The 23,351-nt window shown below is 38.9% G+C and overlaps 1 protein-coding gene across 48 annotated transcripts in view, besides 1 other annotated feature; it reads left to right on the top strand.

Moving 5' to 3' along the window:
* CALD1 (caldesmon 1) overlaps positions 1-23,351 on the top strand; it is a 259,231-nt gene that overhangs the window by 212,053 nt on the left and 23,827 nt on the right. For 25 of the 48 annotated variants that reach the window (NR_199386.1, NR_199387.1, NR_199388.1 and 22 more), the window contains 3 exons: positions 5,203-5,349; positions 9,437-9,839; positions 17,541-17,686. Coding sequence is in view for 44 of the 48 variants with exons in the window: in NM_001438779.1 (NP_001425708.1) it covers positions 5,203-5,349; positions 9,437-9,839; positions 17,541-17,686 (696 nt within the window). In the remaining 4 variants the exon portion in view is untranslated. Of the gene's footprint in view, positions 1-5,202; positions 5,350-9,436; positions 10,527-12,136; positions 12,215-17,540; positions 17,687-23,351 lie in introns of all 48 variants that reach the window. The other 23 variants (NR_199389.1, NM_001438770.1, NM_001438769.1 and 20 more) reach the window with 3 other exon arrangements.
* Positions 14,358-14,563: a silencer, noted in NCBI's record as "fragment chr7:134622660-134622865 (GRCh37/hg19 assembly coordinates)". NCBI's record gives its function as "represses an EF-1alpha promoter that drives an FKBP-Casp9 reporter gene in an ReSE screen in K562 erythroleukemia cells {active_cell/tissue: K562}" and the evidence as "EXISTENCE:reporter gene assay evidence [ECO:0000049][PMID:32094911]".

Raw genomic sequence — 23,351 nt, forward strand, 5'->3', positions numbered from 1 at the left:
GATTATTATGCTTTTATTACAATCCAGTGGTTGGTTAGGTATGATTTTTACTAGTCAGCAGCATTTCAAATACATTTAAATCTGGCGTGTGGAAAATCAGAAATGTCAACATTTTGTCTTTCACTGAAGCATGAAGCAGACCCTGTGCTATCGTTTGATATAATAAGGATCCTGTGTACTTGTCTTTTTGGACAAATTCTGCTTTGTGGTGAAATTAGCTTTCATGCATTACTGGTATTAAATTGACAATTTGTCGATGATTATCAAAAGCCTTTAAAATGAGCATACTCTTAAACTCGGAAATTAAACTCAGAAATTCTAACTTCTGAGAAGTTTTCCTAAGTAAATAATTGAACAAGTGATTAAAGTGAGTCTGTAATAATGTCCTTAGCAGCATTGTTTATAAGAAGATATAAAGTTGAAAACAATCTTAAATGTGCCTCAGTAGAAAATTGGTTAGTCATAATAGATCCATGTAATCATTATGTATGTGTATACCTAAGTGGTAATACTGTGTTGCTATTGAAATTATATATTGCTAACATGTTAAAAATAGTCATAAACAAGGTAAATTAAAGAAATGGTTTGTGAAATGATATGTATGACATAACCCTATTTTATTAAAAACAAAAATGTCTGTGCATGCACAGGAAAATGGTAGAATATATCACATACTCATCATGTTCAAATCTGGGTTTGCATGATTCTCGGGAGTGGCTTTTACTTTCTCCTTTATATATTTTGAATTGTTTGGTTTTAAAAAAAATTTATGTGTGCGTTGCTTTTAAAATCCAAAAGAATGAACAATTCAGGGTACTTTTTTTTCAATTTCGGAAGAAAAAATAATAAACCTGTGGTGTTAGTAGGATGGGAAGCTCACCATGAGGGAGAGGCCTAAAAGCTAAGAAATGACTGTTTGCTTTGCTTGCCTAACGCTAATGTAGGGAGCCTCAGAGTTGAAGAATTTTCACCCCTATCAAGTCATTTGGCATGGACACAATTTTACCTATAAAGTCAACTGATATGTTCTTGAACCAGCAACTGGACATGTTATGATTGAAAATGCCATGAAACCATTTTAGCTCTTTTTTTGTTCTTAACTTTGTAAATAATTTTAATATGTTTCTTTATTAGTAGTCATAAAAAGATCCATAGATATTTTGCCCCGTGATATCGTTAGGCTTTGTGTCCCTACCCAAATCTCATCTTGAATTGTACTCCCCGTAATCTCCATGTGTCAAGAGAGAGACCAGGTGGAGGTAACTGAATCATGGGTGCAGTTTCCCCCGTGCTATTCTCATGACAGTGAGTTCTCACGAGATCTGATGGTTTTATAAGGGGGGGCTCTTCCTCCTTCACTTGGCGCTTCTTCCTGCCACCTAGTGAAGAAGGTGCCTTGCTTCCCCTTCACCTTCTGCCATAATTGTAAGTTTCCTGAGGCCTCACCAGCCATGCTGAACTGTGAATCAATTAAACCTCTTTCCTTTATAAGTTACCCAGTCTCGGGCAGTTCTTTATAGCAGTGTGAAACGGACTAATACACTCTAGTAGCTGTGTATCCTAGAAAATGGGCTCCCAATGGAGAATGATTGCCTATAAACTTTAAGCTGTACCAAGCAAGAAGAGGTAGAAGAGATAGTGGAGATGATCGGTTGTTCAGGTTGCTCCACTGAGAAATCAAAGATGAAGAGAGGTTACATGTGATGTGGCCTACGTGGCAAATCTAGTTCATGTCAGAGCTAACAGCCAGCAATATCCAGCCATGAAGCCCAGTGGGTAGGTGAAAAGAGAAAGATGGTAAGTTCTGAAAATAGTGGGAAATTAAGGACTTAAGGTTATATTCCATTAAGGGGACGGAGGAGTTTTGCTTTTAGGATAGGTGTATAAGTTCGTTCTTGCACTGCCGTAAAGAACTGCCCAAGATGGGTAATTTATAAAGAAAAGAGGTTTAACTGACTCACTCATAGCTGGGGAGGCCTCAGGAAACTTACAATCATGGAGGAAGGGGAAGCAGGCACCTTCTTTACAAAGCAGCAGAAGAGAGAAGAGTGAGCGAAGGAGGAACTTGCCAAACACTTATAAAAACCTTGAGAGAATTCACTCACTGTCACGAGCACAGCATGAGGGAACCACCCCCATGATCCAGTCAGCTCCCACCACATTCCTTCCTCAACACCTGACACGGGGGATTACAATGCAAGATGAGATTTGGGTGGGGACACAAAGCCTAACCCTATCAATAGGGATGTCCCATACGGAGTTTTATGCCTCTTGCTTGTCTTGGAAGAAGAAGGCCCCAAGTAACAGTCATGACCTCATGGCTGATCCAGAGATGTAGAAAAGCAAATTGAGACTTCCTGTTTGATTAGTTTAGGAAGCAGTTATTAAGGATTGATTCTCCCTGTTGCGGTTAAAGCTGTCTACCAAGAAATAAGCCAAAGGAACATTAGGCCAAGAATCTGAAGGGTGAAGCCAAACCACTGGGAAGGGCTTTCTACTTCAACTACAATGTGATTGAATTAGAAAGGAACATTCGAATCCTGTCATGTCACCTCAAATTCAACAAGTCTAAAATTGAACTCATTTTTCCTCACGAAGCGGCTCCTTAACTGAACTTTCCTAATAACAGGAAGACACTGCAGTGTAGAATGCTTTGCCACAACATATCTATCTATTATTTCATTTGATTGTCACACACAAGAAAATTTAACTCTAAAATTTAACTTTAAATTTAACTTTAAAAGGTTAATCAAAGGGCTGCAAATTAGTAAGAGACCAATTCTAAAACCCAAGTTTTCTGAATCCTAATCTAGTCATCCATTATCAACTATATCACATTGCCCCCCCATATTTGTGAAATAAACCAGCCCATTTTATAGAATTACTAAGTGACATTTTATTTGTATTGGCTTTTGAGGATTGCACATGAGCAGATTTTAGTAAATATGAAGTCAGATTTTCTCAAGTAGCAAAGAAGAAACCAACCAACCTTCGGAATCATTAATCCTGTTTTTTATGAGATACCTCAGTGAAAAAACATTCATAGCATTCTTATTATTGAAGTCAAAAGATGACACAGATGAAATAAAGTACTGACTCTAAGCCTAAAAATGCCTAACTTACAACTCTAACATGAGCAAACCATCATCAGTTATATTAGGTTAATATATGGTATAAGTAGTATGGTTCTACTGTTTTGTTTTAATTTGCAAATTATTTTGGCTTTGCAATGATATAAGAATTATAAGCCTGTTCTAGAGAAGTACCATGCAACATTGTACCTATAGTTAACAATATGGTTAACAATTTTAACAATTTAAAGTGTATTGTACACTTTAAAATATGCCAACAGGGTGGATTTCATGTTAAGTGTTCTTACCACAGTTTTAAAAAGAATTATTAGCATGAAATGTTTACATATCTGGGTTTCTATTTTGTAGATATGTAAGTAACATTGTAATAAAAACACTGTAACTCTCCAATACAAAAAGCAGCTTCCTACACAATGCAGCCCCATACCCATACCCAACCCATTGACCCATCAAGCCAGCACCCATCCTTTCTTGGCACTCTGTATCTCAGTACACATTCTACCTTCAAAAACAGCTAAGTCAAACGTGTCAAAATAGCTATTTCCTCTTGAGTTTGAGCATCTGCAGTTGCCCAGCCCCAATTCTTTATTTGGAAATAAGTATTAGGAGAAACATATCTAGCATAGTGATATTGATTTGTAATTTCCTCAAATAGACATTCACTTTAGATGACTACAAAAGCTAAATAGAGCTCAGGAGCTCGAGACCATCCTGGGCAACATAATGAAACACCATCTCTTAAAAAAAAAAATACAAAAGTTAGCTGGGTGTGGTGGTGTGCACCCATAGTCCCAGCTACTCAGGAGGCTGAGGTGGGACAATTGCTTGAGCCTGGGAGGTCAAGGCTGCAGTGAGCTGTGATCACACCACTGCATTCTGGCCTGGGTGACAGAGTTAGACTGTGTCTCAAAAAAAAAAAAAAAAAAAAAAAAAGCTAAATAATATATACACATGTGAAGTCCTCTGTGTCTCTTCTGCCTTCTTCAGCTCATAGACATCTATCTAAATACACACCTGTGGGCCATTGTGATGTGCCCAGCATGTGGGTGGTATGATACTAAGGCACATTTTAGAGCAAAAGAGGGGGGCCTTAAAGGGAGCTGCCACCCCTTCAAAATGCACTGACTCTGAAGCATCCTACCAATTGTCAGTAACACCTTCTCTCGCCAGGGAAAAGGAACTGGAGGGAAAAACAAAATCCAAGCAAAGAAGATATCCTACTCCCAATTTTAATAATATTTATTATTTAATATAATATTTAATTTTAATAATATGTATTATTTAATAATATTTATTATAATATAATATTTATTATAATTATTAAATAATTTTAATAATTTTGGCTTATTAGCACCAAAGTCCCGGTTGGTAGTGTAACTTGATTCTTTTCTGATCTTCGTGACAGTGTCTACACAAATAACTCATGCAACATGCTGTATCTTTTGAAGTAAGCATTTTGTTTATTTTTGGTTCAATACTTTGGGTCCCTTCTTCTAAATCTTACAAGGCCAGGCCCGGTGGCTCACGCCTGTAATCCCAGCACTTTGGGAGGCCGAGGCGGGCGGATCATGAGGTCAGGAGTTGGAGACCAGCCTGGCCAGCTTGGCAAAACCCCATCTCTACTAAAATACAAAAATTAGCTGGGCATGGTGGCATGTGCCTGTAATCCCAGCTGCTCGGGAGGCTGAGGTAGGAGAATCACTTGATCCCAGGAGGTGGAGGTGGCAGTGAGCCGAGATTGTGCTGCTGCACTCCAGCCCGGGTGACAGTGCAAGACTGGGTCTCAAAAAAAAAAAAAAAAAAAAAAAAAAAACTAACCCACAGTTTCCAAAGGCAACTTGCTTTTGTGCAGAATGTTTTAGTTTAAGTTGTTATTTGGTCATTGTAAATTATCTTCTGTAGCTATTGGATTCATGTTTTTCAAATAGTTAAAAGTTTGAAAGCTAGCTGACTAGGTCGCTAAACTTAAGGAACTGAACCATCCTTTTAGACGTATGTGGTTCATTAAGCAGTGAAGTTCAGAAAAGGGCTCAGGGCTGTTCCTGCCAAGAGGTTGGTGAAGACACGTGGCAAGTGGCACGCTCAAGAGGTTGTCTTTGTAATGTTGCAGAATCGCCTACCAGAGGAATGACGATGATGAAGAGGAGGCAGCCCGGGAACGGCGCCGCCGAGCCCGACAGGAACGGCTGCGGCAGAAGCAGGAGGAAGAATCCTTGGGACAGGTGACCGACCAGGTGGAGGTGAATGCCCAGAACAGGTACTGTCCTCTTTGGGACGGGGAGTTTCTAACTTGCGTCTTAGCCTGTCCGTTGAATGGAATTTGTTGAGCAGAGCATTCCTTTCTCAGCCCAACTCAACCCTTTTTCAATCTAACTGGTTTAATTATTTTGCAGTCATTTTAGGCAACTAATCTGATTAGACAGGCAATCTGATTTAGACACTAGGACACACTATTCTATTTCTCTCCACCCCGTTCCCATCTCATAAACATACCCCAGTTGAAGGCTTTTATTTCATTTCACAATCTAGCATTTGTTTAATTTAATAAGTATGGTGTGCTATATCTTAAAAATAAGTATGGTCTATTTTTTCTGTTTAATTCTTTCTTTAAATTTCAATAGTTTTGGGGGAACAGGTGGGGTTTTGGTTACACAGATAAGTTCTTTAATGGTGATTTCTGATATTTTGGTGCACTCGTCACCCGAGCAGTACACACCACGCCCAATGCGCAGTATTTTCCCCCTCACACCCTCCTACCTTTCTCCCCGAGTCCCCAGTGTCCATTATATCACTTTTCTACCTTTGCATCCTCATAGCTTAGCTCCCACTTGTAAGTGAGAACATTTGATATTTGGTTTTCCATTCCTGAGTTACTTCACTTCAAATAATGGTCTCCAACTCCATCCAGGTTGCGGTGAATTCCATTATTGTGTTCCTTTTTATGGCTGAATAGTATTCCATGGTGTGTGTATATATACGTGTGTGTGTGTGTGTGTGTGTGTGTATATATATATATATATATATATACACCACATTTTCTTTACCCACTGCTTGGTTGATGGGCATTTAAGCTGCTTCCATATTTTTGCAATTGCAAATTGTGCTTCTATAAACATGCGTGTACCAGTATATTTTGCATATAATGACTTCTTTTCCCCTGGGTAGATACCCAGTAGTGGGACTGCTGGATCAAATGTTAGTTCTACTTTTAGTTCTTTAAGGAATCTATACTGTTTTCTGGTAGGTTATATCTTTAAATAAGGAAAAGTATTTACATTTATTCTGTAGGGTGTTGCTATCTGTTTTGAACTGAAGATATGTTAGTTTAGTAGAGTCCTCCATGGCTACCATTAATAGGTAACACGTGAATTTTTAAAGTGGGCATGAATTGCAGATGTCTTCTTTTTTCTAATATACAGCCTGAATCAATAGTCTCTGATCATTATAATATTCAACAAGATACAGAATTCCGCTTAATTTAATGTGATTATTCAAACACACTTAATGAGTTTGCTATTACGTATTTTCTCACTCGGGCCCTGGTTGAAATCAGGGAACTTGAGAATGCCTAATAGGTTCAACTTCTTCAAAGAGGGCTTTTGCAGCAGAAATAAGGTCACATGGTTCATTATGCTAATGGTTAGTATATGTCATTTATATTGTCATTTATGTGCCCCAAGGTCTAAAAAAGATGAGGATATTTGAGGAGGAAAATGGAGAAAATAATTTTAATTTAAAACCATGGACTGATTATAATGGTTACACTATATAAGATCTCACATGTGGTTTTGGTTTTAGTTTGTTTTGTTTAATTCAGTCTATTTAGAAAATTCTAAAGGGAATGGGTCCTGGCCTCCTTAACCCAAGTTTGAGAGGCTGTATTAGAAGGTTTCAGAAAGCAGTCTTGAAAATGTTGGCCGGTAGCACAATATTGTTTACCCTTTCCCTCAATAAGTAGCTTCTAATTGGGGAGTAGGTATAGCAAAGGGGAAATAGGTATAATTTCTAGGGTTCACTAATTGACTTTGACTCCCAATTTGACCTTTCACTAACTGTATTTCTTCAGTTAAATGGAAATAAAAATTATACCTTTCTCCAAAAAATGCTGCTAAACTTAAACTATGTAACAATACATGTAAAATGCAGTGTCTTACACATAGTAAGCACTCAATAAATTTTCACTGTTACCAGATTCTTAACACGGGAGGGCAACGTAGTCATTCACTGCCTTTTCCATTTTCAAGCTGAGAGAGAAATAATAGAAAGAGTTTTAAAAATGGCATTTTGATGCCTTTCCTGAATCTTGTTATTAATGAGTGGTCAACAGGAGCTTTAAAAATTACTGGTGATCTGTAGTTTTCTTGCTTTTAAAATCTTGCTTTTCCTTGTGCTTCTCTTCGGATATTTGGCTGTTATTCATTATTTCATGCTATTAATTGAAATCAAATTCTTTTTTTTTTTAGAAAATCATATTGAGGTCTGAGAATGTGTGATTTATCTCTGACATATTAGTTAGCCACAAGAAGAATAAGTCTTCTTGGGGCTAAACAACTCTAACTGGCATTTGATATCTACTGATAATTGTGGTCATGATTTATAAATAGGCAAAGAAATGTTCAATACAGTTTGTTGGTTTCTTAGCATAAGAGTACTTTAATCTGGCTAGCACTTTGGAATTTTGGTGCCTTTTAAAAATTATTAGAATTCAATTGATCCAAATGGCCCCTCTATAGACTTCCCCTTAAATTATAAATTTTTTGCATTTGTAGGGACATTTAATCCTTATATGTCTAATTTCATGGAGGCAATATCCTGAAGCAAAAGTAAAGGCCAAGAAAGTTTTAAAGCTAGTTTTTACTCTGCCATTTTCATTGTTAAATATGAAATGTGTTTTTTCCAAAATTAAGTGAATTTGAACGTTGAAAGGGCCAAGTTTGGTCTGAACTATGAAATTTGATGGAGTTTCTAAACATTGCAAGACAAATTCTTCCAACTCTGGTCACAGTTCTGGTATCACATGACTGGTTGTTTCCTGCAAATAGAAACCAACACCCTGGCTTGGACAGTGTCCAGCATCCTGCAGTAGTGAGGGAGGTGATGGACAACAGTTTAACTTTTGGAGATTTTCTTTCCTTTTTAAAATAAATGTCAAATTTAACTGCCCTTTTTCCACTGTAGAAAAGATGGACAAGAAACCCTTTATTCATGGAAATCTTGACAAAGAAGGTAGATTGTGTATACATTAGTTAGGGTAACGCTGGCTGCTATAACGATTAGTGCCCCCAAATTTTAAGTTTAGTGCAGTAACACTTACCATTATGCATATTTCTGTCTAGTTGGTAGAACCAGCCACCTGTCTTCTTTTCTCTTGTGACTCTCAATCCCTAGGGCTTGGTGCTCCCTGATCTACCAACAGACAGAGATAGAGAAGACAGGGAGTGCACCTCTGTTTGTTCATTGCCTTGGTTGGACACTTCTGTTTACATTTCATTGGCAGTTATTGGTCACATGGCCCGCCTAGGTGCAAAGAAGGGAGAGGGTGCAAATTTAATCCTTGAGTGGTGATCACTCCCCCCAACTATGGAAGGAGGAGCAGGAATTGTAAGGGACACTTAGATGTCTCTTCCATTGGGGTCACTGGCGTGAGTGTGGAATCTCAACACTGTAATGTACATTTTCTTCCTCTCAAAGTACCTTGGGAGCCTCCAATCCAGATCAGGAATTCTAGATGACTTGATGACATGGGAGAATACTACATGACATGGAAGGAATTCACTTATTATTTCAGTTTGATCCTTAAGTTTGAATTCCCCAAGAAGCAAGTCCAGAAACAACGATTTGACTGCAAGTCGTTTATTTGTAAGGTGATGCTAGGAAACACTGGTGGAGGTGTGGGAAGGTAAGACAGAAAAGGGAAGGCCACCAAATAAACGTTGCATGACCAAGCACATCACCACTGTGGGTATCTGGAGCTTCACTCCACTGGGAAACTCTGAGATCCAGTGTGGAATACACACCTCGGAGTTATCCCACTCAAAAAGTGAGGGGTGCTGAGGTATCTAAACACTCAGGCTATCAATTTTTGTTTGAAAACTGCTCCCAGGGGACATTAATACCGAAAGCACTTCTGGCATGTTGAGTAGACTCCAGTCCCCAGAGAAAGGCTTGCAAATGCTGTCAGCTGAAAGCCAGGCAGGCGTGTACTAAAATGGTAACGTACTGGGGATATGGGCAAGCTTGGCACTACTGGCATCTGCTGTAGTCCTGGGTAGCACAGGCTGTATGAATGCTGCTGACTGATGAATGAGCAAGCTGTCTTTGGTGTTGTTCTTTCTGTTGTACAGTGTGCCTGACGAGGAGGCCAAGACAACCACCACAAACACTCAAGTGGAAGGGGATGATGAGGCCGCATTCCTGGAGCGCCTGGCTCGGCGTGAGGAAAGACGCCAAAAACGCCTTCAGGAGGCTCTGGAGCGGCAGAAGGAGTTCGACCCAACAATAACAGATGCAAGTCTGTCGCTCCCAAGCAGAAGAATGCAAAATGACACAGCAGAAAATGAAACTACCGAGAAGGAAGAAAAAAGTGAAAGTCGCCAAGAAAGATACGAGATAGAGGAAACAGAAACAGTCACCAAGTCCTACCAGAAGAATGATTGGAGGGATGCTGAAGAAAACAAGAAAGAAGACAAGGAAAAGGAGGAGGAGGAAGAGGAGAAGCCAAAGCGAGGGAGCATTGGAGAAAATCAGGTAGAGGTGATGGTGGAAGAGAAAACAACTGAAAGCCAGGAGGAAACAGTGGTAATGTCATTAAAAAATGGGCAGATCAGTTCAGAAGAGCCTAAACAAGAGGAGGAGAGGGAACAAGGTTCAGATGAGATTTCCCATCATGAAAAGATGGAAGAGGAAGACAAGGAAAGAGCTGAGGCAGAGAGGGCAAGGTTGGAAGCAGAAGAAAGAGAAAGAATTAAAGCCGAGCAAGACAAAAAGATAGCAGATGAACGAGCAAGAATTGAAGCAGAAGAAAAAGCAGCTGCCCAAGAAAGAGAAAGGAGAGAGGCAGAAGAGAGGGAAAGGATGAGGGAGGAAGAGAAAAGGGCAGCAGAGGAGAGGCAGAGGATAAAGGAGGAAGAGAAAAGGGCAGCAGAGGAGAGGCAGAGGATAAAGGAGGAAGAGAAAAGGGCAGCAGAGGAGAGGCAGAGGATAAAAGAGGAAGAGAAAAGGGCAGCAGAGGAGAGGCAAAGGGCCAGGGCAGAGGAGGAAGAGAAGGCTAAGGTAGAAGAGCAGAAACGTAACAAGCAGCTAGAAGAGAAAAAACATGCCATGCAAGAGACAAAGATAAAAGGGGAAAAGGTAGAACAGAAAATAGAAGGGAAATGGGTAAATGAAAAGAAAGCACAAGAAGATAAACTTCAGACAGCTGTCCTAAAGAAACAGGTACAGTAAACATTTTGCACCAAATGTGTGATGCCTGTGACTTGTGAGAAATGTAATGCACATCTGATTTGGGACTGAGGCCACATGCATATAGCTCACATGCTTGATCATTTGGCAAGCTGTTCATTTTTTCAGGCCATAGCGATACACAAGCATGCAGCAATTGATTGATGGCTGAATATTCAATCAACCAAATTTACTGGGACAGCCAGTAAATTTGGCTGTCCAGAAGACAGAGAGAAATTAATTGCTCTGTGCTTGATTGTTATGAATACCCAAAAAAAGAATTAATCCAAAGATGATAAATGTGGTGGTGGTGTGTTGGCTTCTGATTCTGTGCTTGCATCTAAACTCGTTCTTTTAATTATCTTTCCTCTATCCATAGGTCTGCATGAGGCAAGAGGCCCATAACTCCTTACCTCACTCATGGGTTTGACGTTGAATTAAAAAAATGATAAAAGCTGGGGTGGGAAAGAGACATGAAGAATAATGGTCAGACATTTCATCTTAAGAAGGCAAAAACAGGCTGGGTACAGTGGCTCACACCTGTAATCCCAGCACTTTGGGAGGCTGAGGTGGGTGGATCACAAGGTCAGGAGATCGAGACCATCCTGGCCAACATGGTGAAACCCCATCTCTACTAAAAATACAAAATTAGCTGGGTGTACCGGCACATGTCTGTAATCCCAGCTACTCAGGAGGCTGAGGCAGGAGAATCACTTGAACCTGGGAGGCAGAGGTTGCAATGAGCTGAGATTGTGCCACTGCACTCCACTGGGCAACAGGGAGAGACTCCATCTCAACAACAAAAACAACAACAACAACAAAAAGGCAAAAACAAACCCCTGGAAATTAACTGGTAATAAAGAGGGGGAAAGGAACTGGTTGGAAACTTTCCTTAAAAAAAAAAGTCAAAACCCTGATTTGCCAACATGTAGACCTCAGCTTAATGTAGACTTGCAGAAAGCCATTAATTTAGGGTAGTATTGATTTATATTTGACTGGTAATTAAGAGCATACATGCTGCTTCTTTATTATCTGGGTGACACAAATTCATGTGGCCTGAGGAAGGGTGGAAATAGTAGGGGGGAAATGTTTGTAAGCTTTGAGAAAGATTTTTTTTCTGTCTGCAAGACTGCATTGAAAGCACTGTACCTAATCACCACCACACCACCACCACCACTCCTAAAAAAAGAAAAAAAGAGATGCTTTCACATTCACCTTTCCAGAGCAAATTCTCTGTCACTAAGCCTGCATTGCACTGAAGGTATCTTTAACTCCTGCTTCTGTACAAGAGGCTCATGAACACAGCTAAAATTGAGACCATGAGCAAAGTGCACCAAACCACACACGAGGTTTGTAAACACACGAGGAGTGCCACATCATGCTAGATTTCAGTGAGCGCAATGGCAGGCACACGAGAAGATGTTGGGGTGGGAAGAAAATATCCCACCTTGCTGTTTAGAACCACTGTGCTGTGAGCGCTGAGACGGCAGAAGAGAAGCCATCCCACGCAGCACTTGCAAGGCGATCCGAGCACCCTGTCACTCTTGTAAACTAGAAAGGGCTTCTTTTACTTGTGTGACCTTACCATTCTTGAAAATAAAAAGGGAGAAGAGAAGGGAACTAAAGTGCAAGCTAAAAGAGAAAAGCTCCAAGAAGACAAGCCTACCTTCAAAAAAGAAGAGGTAAATATGATTGAAAAGTAATGATCGTAAAGCAACAGAAAAAGCAGTCAGTGTTCCAAGATATCTCAGGTCTGATGATCTCAAAATTGTAACCTCATATCCAGTGTATTTCAAGCCATGACTCACAGTCCACTGAATAGTGAGATCAGCTTAGAGTGTCTCAAAATTAATTAAATGTATCAGTCAGCATTTTTTAAAAAATGAAATGGATAGAAGCCATCAGAGGGCATTGTAGGTAGTAAGTATTGCATTGTCAGGTAAATTGTCTTTTTTTCTGTGGGACGTCATCAAAAAGGCTTGAAAAACACTGCTGGAATCAATTTATCCTGTTTTCTATTCTTCTGAATGCTAATTTTTTTTCCTTGAGCCATTCTACTTTCATTTCAATCATGAAATATTTCCAACTGGCCTTGATTAATGCTTTAACTTTTCAAAGGAAAAACACCCACACACATCTCAGTAGAAAATATGGTGAACTGAAGATGATATTTGGTTTTCAAAAGAAAAGTTTGGCCAAATGTTCTGCATTGCATTTCTGAGGCACACACAGGAGCGGGTGCCAGGGTATTTGACTGTAGGTAAGTGAACAAGGAGCTATACAGATAGAATGGCACGGGGTTTGACAGTAATCAGAACACCACATCAGAACACTTGATTGCACTTCAACTCTCATGCTGTGTTTGCCCCAAATAATCTTAAAAATTGTGACTATATCGAATAAGTTCACAATACTTATTAGGATGTGGTGAAACTGAATTATTTGAAGTAGGAAGACCCGAAGTTCTTCGCCTATGAGACTGGTGAAGTGATTTGTAGCCAACATGCTCCAACCCATCTATTAAGAAAACTATGGCATCTATTAAGAAAATTCAAAATCTTAAACAGAGAAATCCATATTTAGAAAACATGGCCAGATTAAATAGGGGGTGGGTTATTTTCTTAAATACGTTTTGTCAATTTCACGTGAAAAATGAAAACCCCTAGTTCATGTTACATATTACATTTCTGTTAAGATGTATGTTCCTCTGTTTCTAATAGAAGTTGTGGTGGTTTGGAAGTGAAAATTGAATGTGAGCACAGGCCATGTAAAGGAAGGAGAAAGTGTAAATGTTAATAACAGGAAAACTGAATTTAGCTCTCATGAGGCAGTCAAGGAAATCATTCATTGAACATGTTGGGAAATACTTTTCATTTGGTGACCAAATACCTACAAATTCATTTACAAAAAAGAAAAATGAAAGTTACCTCAGAACTAAACTCAGAAATATGTCCCACATGGGTTCTTGTAATGTTTCTTGGTGAATGTCTTTATAGAAAGAAGTGGGCATGAAATGATGACTCAGTAATTAAACACATGGGGGAAGGGAGGCTGTAGAAAACACTGGATTCTATATTTAAAATTTCATTCAGTTCACTAATTTGTTTTTACTGACCAAAGCTTTCTATACCTATGTAGAGTGTCTGAGAACTAGAAGGGCCCATCAGTTGCCACTCGGATGATCCTTTTGTCTCTTTTCAGATAAGGCCCCAGTTCAACAGCGTCCTCTGTGTCAATCAGATACTCCCAGGAATGAGTGAGCCCTGCCGTTTTCCCAAGTTGCCCCTCAGCACATTCCAGCCAGTTCCAAAACTTTTGGCTTGTTTTTGACACAAGGCCAGATAAGCTACTCAAACTGGTTTTTTTAAAAAAAGAAAACAACCCCAATCTATATTCCTTTTTTAATACTGTGTACATAACCTGCTGCTCGAAAGACTAGGTTTTCCCCTTTCCAGCTAGTTGTGTTGTTTCTTTATGTAGACAGCTTTAAATCATGTTTACATGATTCAGCCATTTTAAACAACCTCTTCCTATTTTTTTTTCCTTTTTGTACAAAAAAAAAAAAAAGAAGAAGAAAGAAAGCAACTAACTAAAACCTTTCCTTTCAAGGATTTATGCAGCATAGGATAGGGCAACCACAAGTAAACACAAACATCACGTGAGCCTTCTTAAAGAAAACATTTCCAGAAATCACTCCAATGTCTTAAAAAACACACAAAATAAAACCTTTCTCCACTGCAGTTTAACTGTGGCAATGAGTTGCAGACGATCACCAACACTGAAACTTAATTTAGCTTTTTTCTCTCCTCTCCAATCATAAAAAGTCTCTTTTTGGTTCTTCATGCAGGAGCTATTTTCTTTCTTTTCTGGCCTCTAACAGGAAAACAGAGTTTCTAGCCGAGCTGCTCCTGAGGTATTAAAAGTGATGTTCGTGTCATGCGGATCAATCCTGCCCAAACATTAGTGTGCATGCAAATCACCTGGCAGTCTTATTAAATGCAGAATCTGATTCCATGAGGTCCATGTTGTCCGTGGACCAAACTTGCAGTAGTAGCGAGGAGTCTAGAAGACGTCCATGTTATAGAAATTGAACCCAGGAAAGGATTTGGGGCTTATGAAGCTAACAAAAGCACGTAAAACCCAGCCTGAGAAACAGTAGCTACACCCAGCTCTTGTTGCTATTCTGGAACCAAATAATGCAAAATATGCTCGAGACACATCTCAGTTCTTGCTTGCTTGACTTTCTGAGTGTCTCTCTGGCACAAGGGCCTGTCATTTGAATTCCCATCCCCCACCTCATCCCCATGTATTATTCCACTGGATATCCCAAATATCTAGAGTTTCAAAACCCAAATGATCCCATTTGGCCAGAGCCTTTTTTATGAGTATGCTAATGTTATCTGTGTATGAAGCACACAAACTTTTTCAGGATACCCGGCTATCTATTAATCCTTCAGCACGGACGTTCTCCATGGTAACAGTCTGACCTATAAGATCTAATGCCTTTCCCAGGGGGCTCAGAATCCCATGAGTTTGGGTTAAATCTGCCATAACATCTAAAAAAAAATGTAAAGGCTCTACGGAATTACTTTATTTATTCATTTCCCAGAAAGAGAAAATAATTTTCAGTTGAACTCAAATCGTCATTATTACATTGACAAGGTTTCTAAGGTTTTCCAAAAAGAATATAAGCCTGCCATCCACTATAGCCTTTGCCAATAAAGGCAGAGCTTGAAAAAAGGGGGGATTTTTTTTCTGTTAGACATGTATCATCTTACAAATCTATTTTAAACACTTTTGGGACCAGTAAATCAGATATAATACATTTGGGGAGAATGGAAATTTTTCTGACTGCAACATAGGATAAATGAGTTAAAGGGAATGTCTCCATGCGTAGTGCTCCACAGACCGTGAGCTCCTACTCGGAATTTATTTCATGGTTATCCCTAAAATGGGTTTCCCTCACATTTGGAGCCACAGATGCTTCTTAACTAGAACATAAACTCCAGTCCATGGTTTCTGGGGCTAAGTCTAACAACAATAGGCCAAAATGAGAATATATTTTGTTTCCTCCTTCCTGTCCAGTGAATACTGATATATTCTTGGGCAAGGACAGCCATCAGGGAGCCACAGTGAAGCTGTCATTCAGGCTATGAGCTTGCTCCTTTTTTCTGTAGCCTCTCATGACCCATGAGGACCCAAGAGGGAAATGACAGGATGAAAAATTCGGAAGGAATCATCTGGTCCAACCGCATTTTTTCACGTACTTGGGACCAGCATCCCAGAGCAGTCAAGTGATTTGTCCAAGTAACACAACTAGTTTGTTGTCAGCACTGGAGCCAAAAGTCAGGTTTCCTGATTTACAGACAAAGCTCTTGCAGAGAATGGCAAAGTACAGCCCCCATTTTCAGTGTGTCCGAGGGACATCCTAGGTATATACCCCATGGTGAAAGATTGAAGTCTTAACTAATTAGGGCAGCATAGAAGTGAATCCCTAGTAATTAATCAGATAATACCCAAAGAAGACAATCAAATGACTTAAAACTTATCAATAAAGAGCAAAAAACTGTGCTCTGCTTTGTAAAACATGCACTTTAGGCCAGGTGCAGTGGCTCACACCTGTAATCCCAGCACTTTGGGAGGCCGAGGTGGGCAGATCACTTGAGGTCAGGAGTTTGAGACCAGCCTGGCCAACAAGGTGAAACCCATTCTCTACTAAAAAATACAAAAATTATCTGGGTGTGGTGTTGCATGCCTGTAATCCCAGCTACTCAGGATGCTAAGGCGGGAGAATCCCTTGAACCCGGGAGGTGGAAGCTGCAGTGAGCTGAGATCGCACCACTGCACTCCAGCCTGGGCAACAGAGCAAGACTCTGTCTCTTAAAAAAAAAAATGCACTTTAGGAGTAAATCTTCACAGAGTATCTGAAGAATAGGTGAGAAGAGGTGAGTGATCAGGTCAGGATAGAACCTCCTAGGCCACAACACCTAAAGTCCTGAGTTCTTATGGCCTACCTTTCCTCTGGATTTCTTTAGAATGCTCATGGTTTGTAACTGTCTTGAAAAGAACCATCGTGAATGCACCTCACCTGTTTTCACACTCATCTTTTAAGAATGGATGAGATGATATAAGTGAAGTGATTTGAATTCCTTTACCCCCTCCCCCACAAAAAGCTATGTAAATTCAGTATACTTTTAAATAATCTGTCTCACTTACTGAAAGAAACACAAAACGCACAAAATATGAAAGCTAACACCTGCCCTCCATATATCATCTTCCTATGTCTCCCACCACAACCACAAAACTACTTCCAGAGAACTAAATTTTTATTGACAATGGAAATCAAGGTAAACCCTGGAATTTTTCCTATTCCATTCTAACTTTAATGGTTTAGATGACTACAGACATGTTCTCACAGACCCCACATATCTTTGGATCCTCCTACTAAAGGTAGGGTTAGTAAATGTCCCATCCTTGGGACATAATTTACTCAGTTGATTAAAATACTGGTCTTCGCCAGAGTTGGTTTGGCAGATCTAGCTAAACTGATAGGTTTCCTTTTCTTTCTTTCCCATTTGTGTCTCTCTCACAGATTCTCTCACCATCCAGGAAGAAACCTGTCTAAGCAACGTGGTCATTCTTCCATCAAAGCCATCCTAATAATTGCTCTTCCCAGTGGGAACTGCAAACAGCTACTTTTACATGAAGTTCCCAGAACTTAGTGGTTTCCAAACAATAGTACTACCACTGCTCTTGAAAATAAAAACCTCAGTGAGATCAGGGATGATCTTACCTTCTTAAAATTGTGGTAAAGGTGTTTGTTCACAGGCTAAAGGACCATAGCTCATTCTCTAAGAATTTCACCTGATTCCAACTCTACCACATCTGAGTGGTTTCTTTCTGAGTTTTCTGCCTTCCTAACAATTTTGGGTCTTACTTGATGATACCAACCAAAACCTAATAAGATTTTTCTTGTTCTGTTTCTTCCTGATATGTACTGTTGGTTAGATCAAAGATGAAAAGATTAAAAAGGACAAAGAACCCAAAGAAGAAGTTAAGAGCTTCATGGATCGAAAGAAGGGATTTACAGAAGTTAAGTCGCAGAATGGAGAATTCATGACCCACAAACTTAAACATACTGAGAATACTTTCAGGTAAGAAGTAGCAACTAGTTAATAGAAACTGTGTTCACATGCAAAGAAAAAAAAAAAAAAGTCAGTCTTCCCATCCTGTGCTTCCAGACAGAAACGTGCTAAGCAGGCAGCATGCTTTTGTTGTGAGGTCATTAGCCATTGTCTTAGAGATACTCAGTCAGCAGGTCCAGTTCTTATATCACTAACAGAAGACCAGCAGTCATCGCTCAGACAGGGCTTAGTCTGCTTTTCCCATTATTTTGAAAGGCAGATCATGCTTGGCATCCATGTTTTTGTTCACTGACCTTTTGTGAGATTAGTGTATTAGAAAACATTATAACTGGGATTCATGTCATTCAATGATTCTCTATATGGTCTGACCACCTTCCTAAGAGACCTTTCTCAGTACCATTTTCAAGAATGCATTTTCTAAAGGTTGTAAATAAATATTGCATAAGACTAAGATTGTTTTGTGGCGAAATACTTGGGAAACACTGGATTAAGCTAAATTCCTCAGATTTCTTTACCACATGACTTTGAGAGCCCTTCATGTTCATTTTCATTGGAAGTCTCTAAGAGGGAGTGAGAGGTATGGACCTACTGCTCTATTTTATACAGTTTGGAAAAACTCTCTTGTATAGCTTGAGCTTTCCCCTCAACATAATCCCTTACCCCATCAAACTGAAAATCTGGGCAACTGATTATCAGACAGACGAGACCAGTATATTCAGGTAAATCCTCATTTCTAAATACAGTCGAATCCTGAGAGCTCTCTACCAATTTTGTAGAAGAACTTGAGGTGCAGACACTGGGCTGGCTACGTGATTCCTGTGCTCCTTCCCCACAAAACACTCTCTCCAACCACTGGGGCCAAATTCCAACCTCTGTTTTGTCACTGGTTGCTGTGCCAGATGTGCCGGAGAGGAGTCTTGGGTCCCTGCAATGTGGATTTCCCCGGGCTTGTTCCTTGGCTGCAGGCTTGCCTAGTGACCCTGTTTTTCTGAACACTTCAAATAAGAAAGTCATCAAGCAGGTTTGAGGGAGAAATCTGACATGCTCCTCACACCAAAGCCTTTGTAATATTCAAAAGCAGGCGGAGCTACTAGGGATGGATATTTCAGTCTCATCCAAGAGGCTAAGATGGATAAATACGGTTGCCCCAAAACAATTTTTTTGTACGTAAATTTAAGCAGAAACCTATTCATATTTATCCAAAGGAGAACCTAAAGCTCACAGAAGAAAAGGTGTACATAAAAGATCTAAATAAAATGATGAAGGTGTAAGAAAGGTAGAATCTATAGATATTACTTGGGATTGCCAAGAGAATAGATGTGAAAATTAAGTTTATTGAACATTCATAGAAAATCTACAAAGCGAGTTGATTCAGGTTGGTAAGTTGAGTCTAAAACTTGCTGAAGTGTCTGTAGTTTAATGTTTTAAAGCCCTAGAATAGTGTTAGGTTCATGAAAAGTGTTCAATGAATATTACCTAATATTACTATTTTTTAATAGTTTAAAAGATGTCTTGTAAACATAAGGTTCTTTTAAGGTATAAGTTTTTTGTTAAGAGAAATAACGTTTAAGAAAATCTGTCAGTAGAAAAAAGTCTGTTTAACAATTAGCAAACTTGCCAACAAGCTTCAAAGCTCAAATTAATAATTAACATGCCTATTGTGTAGAAATCCAAAAAGCTGGGTAATTCGAAGAAAGGAATAGTCACAAGAGATGGTGACAAGTTAAGTGCTAAGAACACTTACGTGTGACTCTGGCCTTAATTTTTCTATTTTGGGCAGGAAAAAAAAATACAGGAACAAGCTGCTACCATATTATTTATTTTTGTTTAGCCACCAACGTATGTGAGTTTTAGTTTCAATTAGAAGTTCACGCTGATTGAAGTAGAGAAGTATAGTTTTGCTCCATATACATATAAAATGAGGAGAGAGGAAGAGAGTATCCGCCTAGCCTCTATTTAGGTAAGTTTAGTACCTACCAGCTTCACTGAAAACAAGCTGTGTTCTTAATGGTCAAAGGCCTGATACTCATCTTGACTTACACCTAAGGAAGCCAAGGACGGGGGTAGGGTGGTGGGGGTGGGGTGCGGGGAGAAAGAACTTTATGGAACGATTTCCACATTAAGTGGCACCCTAATGCTGAGGTCATGCACATAGGCAGAGGTGGTGTGAACAAAACTTTTGCTCCTGTTTTGAGCATAGCTGCTTATGTGTGATTTAATTACTGTTCCCTTTGATATCTGCATTTTCTTGTAACTCGTTTTCTCTAAAACATGACATAAAAATCTCAATTCAATGAGCAAGATATAGCGATGCAAATTATACCAAGGGTTTTATAGAAAGTGCAAAATGGTTTTTTGATTTTTTATTTTTGAAGGTAGAAATTAAAAGATTTTTTCCGATTATAGAAAAAAATACTCATTATAAAAACGCTCAGAAAATAGAAGAATAAAAATAAGCACCCACCACCCAAAGATAACTAGCAGTAACACTTTTTCCAGATATTTATCTATGTATATAATATTCAAGATAAATGCACACACGTGTGTATATTTATATGTAGTATATACGTGTGTGAGTATACTTATAATTTTACATTGATTCTTGCACTGTGCATAAGAATGTGTCATAGCTTGCTTTCTATGCCAATAAATATAAGCCTATAATTAATGATATTAGATTCTACTGGATGGATGTATTAGGACTTATTTAGCCAGTCCCTAATGACGGACATTTTGATTGTCCAAAATGAAGACTGAGTGACACCTAGTGGAATCCATAGATGTTTCTATAGGCATGTGTTTTGCCGGTCCAGTTCCTGTACAGTAATATGATGAACACAAAGAGAGAGCAAACTCATTTTTGGAAGGAAAGACCCTAAATTGACTGAGAGAGGAGTCACAGGCCTGTGAACCTAGAAGACCCTGAAAGAGCCTTTGACAGCAAGGTTTTGAGGGACCCTTTAACCTTGTTTGAGTTCAAAATAAAAGTTTACCTGTAACTGGCATGAGCCTAGACCAATAGTTCTAAATTTTTTAACCTAAGCCCTTAGTAAGAAATAAATTTTACATAATGACCCAGTACACACCTGTATATATTTTTATAACTGAAACAAGTGTGTCAAGAAATGGTACTTTGTTTTGCTCTATGCAGTGCACTCTGATATTTTCTGTTTTTTTTTTTTTTAAATGTTGATTACAATCTACTAAATTGATTTTCTGGTCTGCAGCTTGAAAATTATTGTTCTGGAGGACACAGGATATTCAGAACTACTTCAGTGTTTAAAAAGCATGATATATAATATACATATATATATTATAAAATCAATATTGCACAGTGTATTTCTTGAGCCCATTTCTTGTTTTATTCTTCCTCTTGTTTCACAGCTAGAAACACTGTACCATTCTTTACATGTAGTAAATGATGTTAGGGTGTGATAATTCCTTTGTTCCTTAGACAAAAGTGTCAGGAATAGGATATCTACGTTGACATCTAGTTAAGAATGACCTTACTACTTGCTAATAAGTATTTAAATGGCAAAGCTGTATCTCTGTCTCTTAAAGACTACTTATAACAAGGGCTTCAAGCCTAAATTAAGCCACTAAATTCTGCTTAGTGAAGTCCCAGGCAAATCCAACTTAGGTGAACTCTGTGTTAGTGAAAACTCTGCATTCTACTGAAGTTCTACTTTGAGTATCGACATGTTTTAAAATTATCAGTGTTCTAACTGTATCATACAGTAAATTTATTAAAGAAACTCAGGGGTCACAGTAGGTGCTAATGATATGTCTTCATCTTTTTATAGTTGTGTAAAATACTAAAAATACCAGTTCCAAAATAAAATTTTACCATAAGGACTCTTGGGATAGCATTCTGTCTGAAGTCTTAATATGTTCCCAATTCTGCAATGAAATCCCTGTGTATCCTCCTTAATCACAAAAGAAAATTCAACATAATTTCAATTTTAGTTCTTACTTACATAAAAACGTACCCATTTCTTCCTGTTTTATAAGCTGTTCTACCTGATGAAGCTTCTGCTTCATCTCAGGCACGGAAGGTAGCTAGACCTAGACTGTAGAAACTCTAGAGACAGAGGTAGGAAACGCTTCTCTCAGACTCTATCCTGAAGGTTTGAGGTAAGAGGTGGAGAGATGGAATAACATGTTCTATTTCAGTTTATTCATTGTTTCATAACAAAACGTATTTAATTTCAGGTATAATTATAGTTACAAGAAGAGTACAACTAATAGATAAGCATTAGAATCTGATCATGGCTCGACTGCTTTCTAGCTTCCAAAAGTTTGAGTATATTATTCTCTGTCTTACCTGTGGTTTCCTTGTTTGTAAGATGGGGATAATAAACCTAACCTGACATCTTCCCAGTTATTGTGACTGTTAAATGAAGTAGTGGATATGAAAAGGGTTTAGAGAGCATAAAGAATGACATGTAAGTAATAACCTTAACCACATCATACCAAGCTAATTTCATAATTTTAAGTCTGTATAAGGAGTATTCCAGTTGTATTGGGGTCAAAGAGCATAGAAAATTCACAAATTGAAGCCATAGGTTAATGCAGTCATTAAGGACTTTCCTGGAGCAGCTCTGTAAGAATAGACATAAATCACTGTGTTTAGCTCTTAATCAAGAGGCAATGGGTAATTTCGTCTGCCAGAGATCAGCTGCTAGAGTCAAGCTCAAGGCACAGTTGTGGACAGATGGATTTACTTCAATGCCTACCCTTAGTTACAGCCACTTTTTCCCATTCCCAGCGCCTGAACCTTTCTGTCTTCCCTCCTGATCCATTACTCCAGGCAGACCCAAGTTAACCAGTAACTTACGGGAAAGGACTAGTAAGGCCACTACAAGACTTTTGAACTCATTCACAAGTAACCTTTTGGACTACATGCCTCCCTTTCTAATAACAACTAATATTTATACTGTAGATGATATAGAAATTATAGTATATCAGTATGATATCAGTATGATATCATACTGATATAATACATAAGCCCATGCAACCCACTGAGGTAAATAGAATAAATAGTATTTACCCATTTTTCCATGTTGTAGCATGTATCTTCTTAAAAATTGTGGTAAAAACAAACATCACCTAAAATTTACCATCTTAAGCATTTTTAAAAGTACAGTTAAGTAGTGTGAGGCATATTCATATTGTTGTGCAACAGATCTCCAAAACTCTTTTCATCTTGCAAGACTGAAAGACTACACCCATTAAACAGCAACTCTTTATTTCCTGCTACCGCCCACCCTCTGCCTCTGGTAACTACAGTTCTATTTCTGTCTCTATGAATTTGACTACTTTAGATCCCTCATATAAGTGGAATCACACAATATTTGTATGATTTCCGTGATTGGCTTATTTCACTTAGCATAGTATCTTCAAGGTTTATCCATGTTGTAACAGGTAACAAGATCTCCTTCCTTTTTTTTTTTTTTCTCTTTTTTTCTTACAGACAGAGTCTCGCTTTGTTGCCCAGGCTGGAGTGCAGTGGCACAATCTCGGCTCACTGCAACCCCTGCCTCCTGGGCTCAAGCAATTCTCCTGCCTCAGCCTCCAGAGTAGCTGGGACCACAGGCACACGCCGCCACGCCCGGCTAATTTTTTTTTTTTTGTATTTTAGTAGAGACAGGGTTTCACTGTGTTGCCCAGGCTG

Source organism: Homo sapiens, chromosome 7 (genome assembly GCF_000001405.40).
Source record: "Homo sapiens chromosome 7, GRCh38.p14 Primary Assembly".
Taxonomy (NCBI): Eukaryota; Metazoa; Chordata; class Mammalia; order Primates; family Hominidae; genus Homo; species Homo sapiens.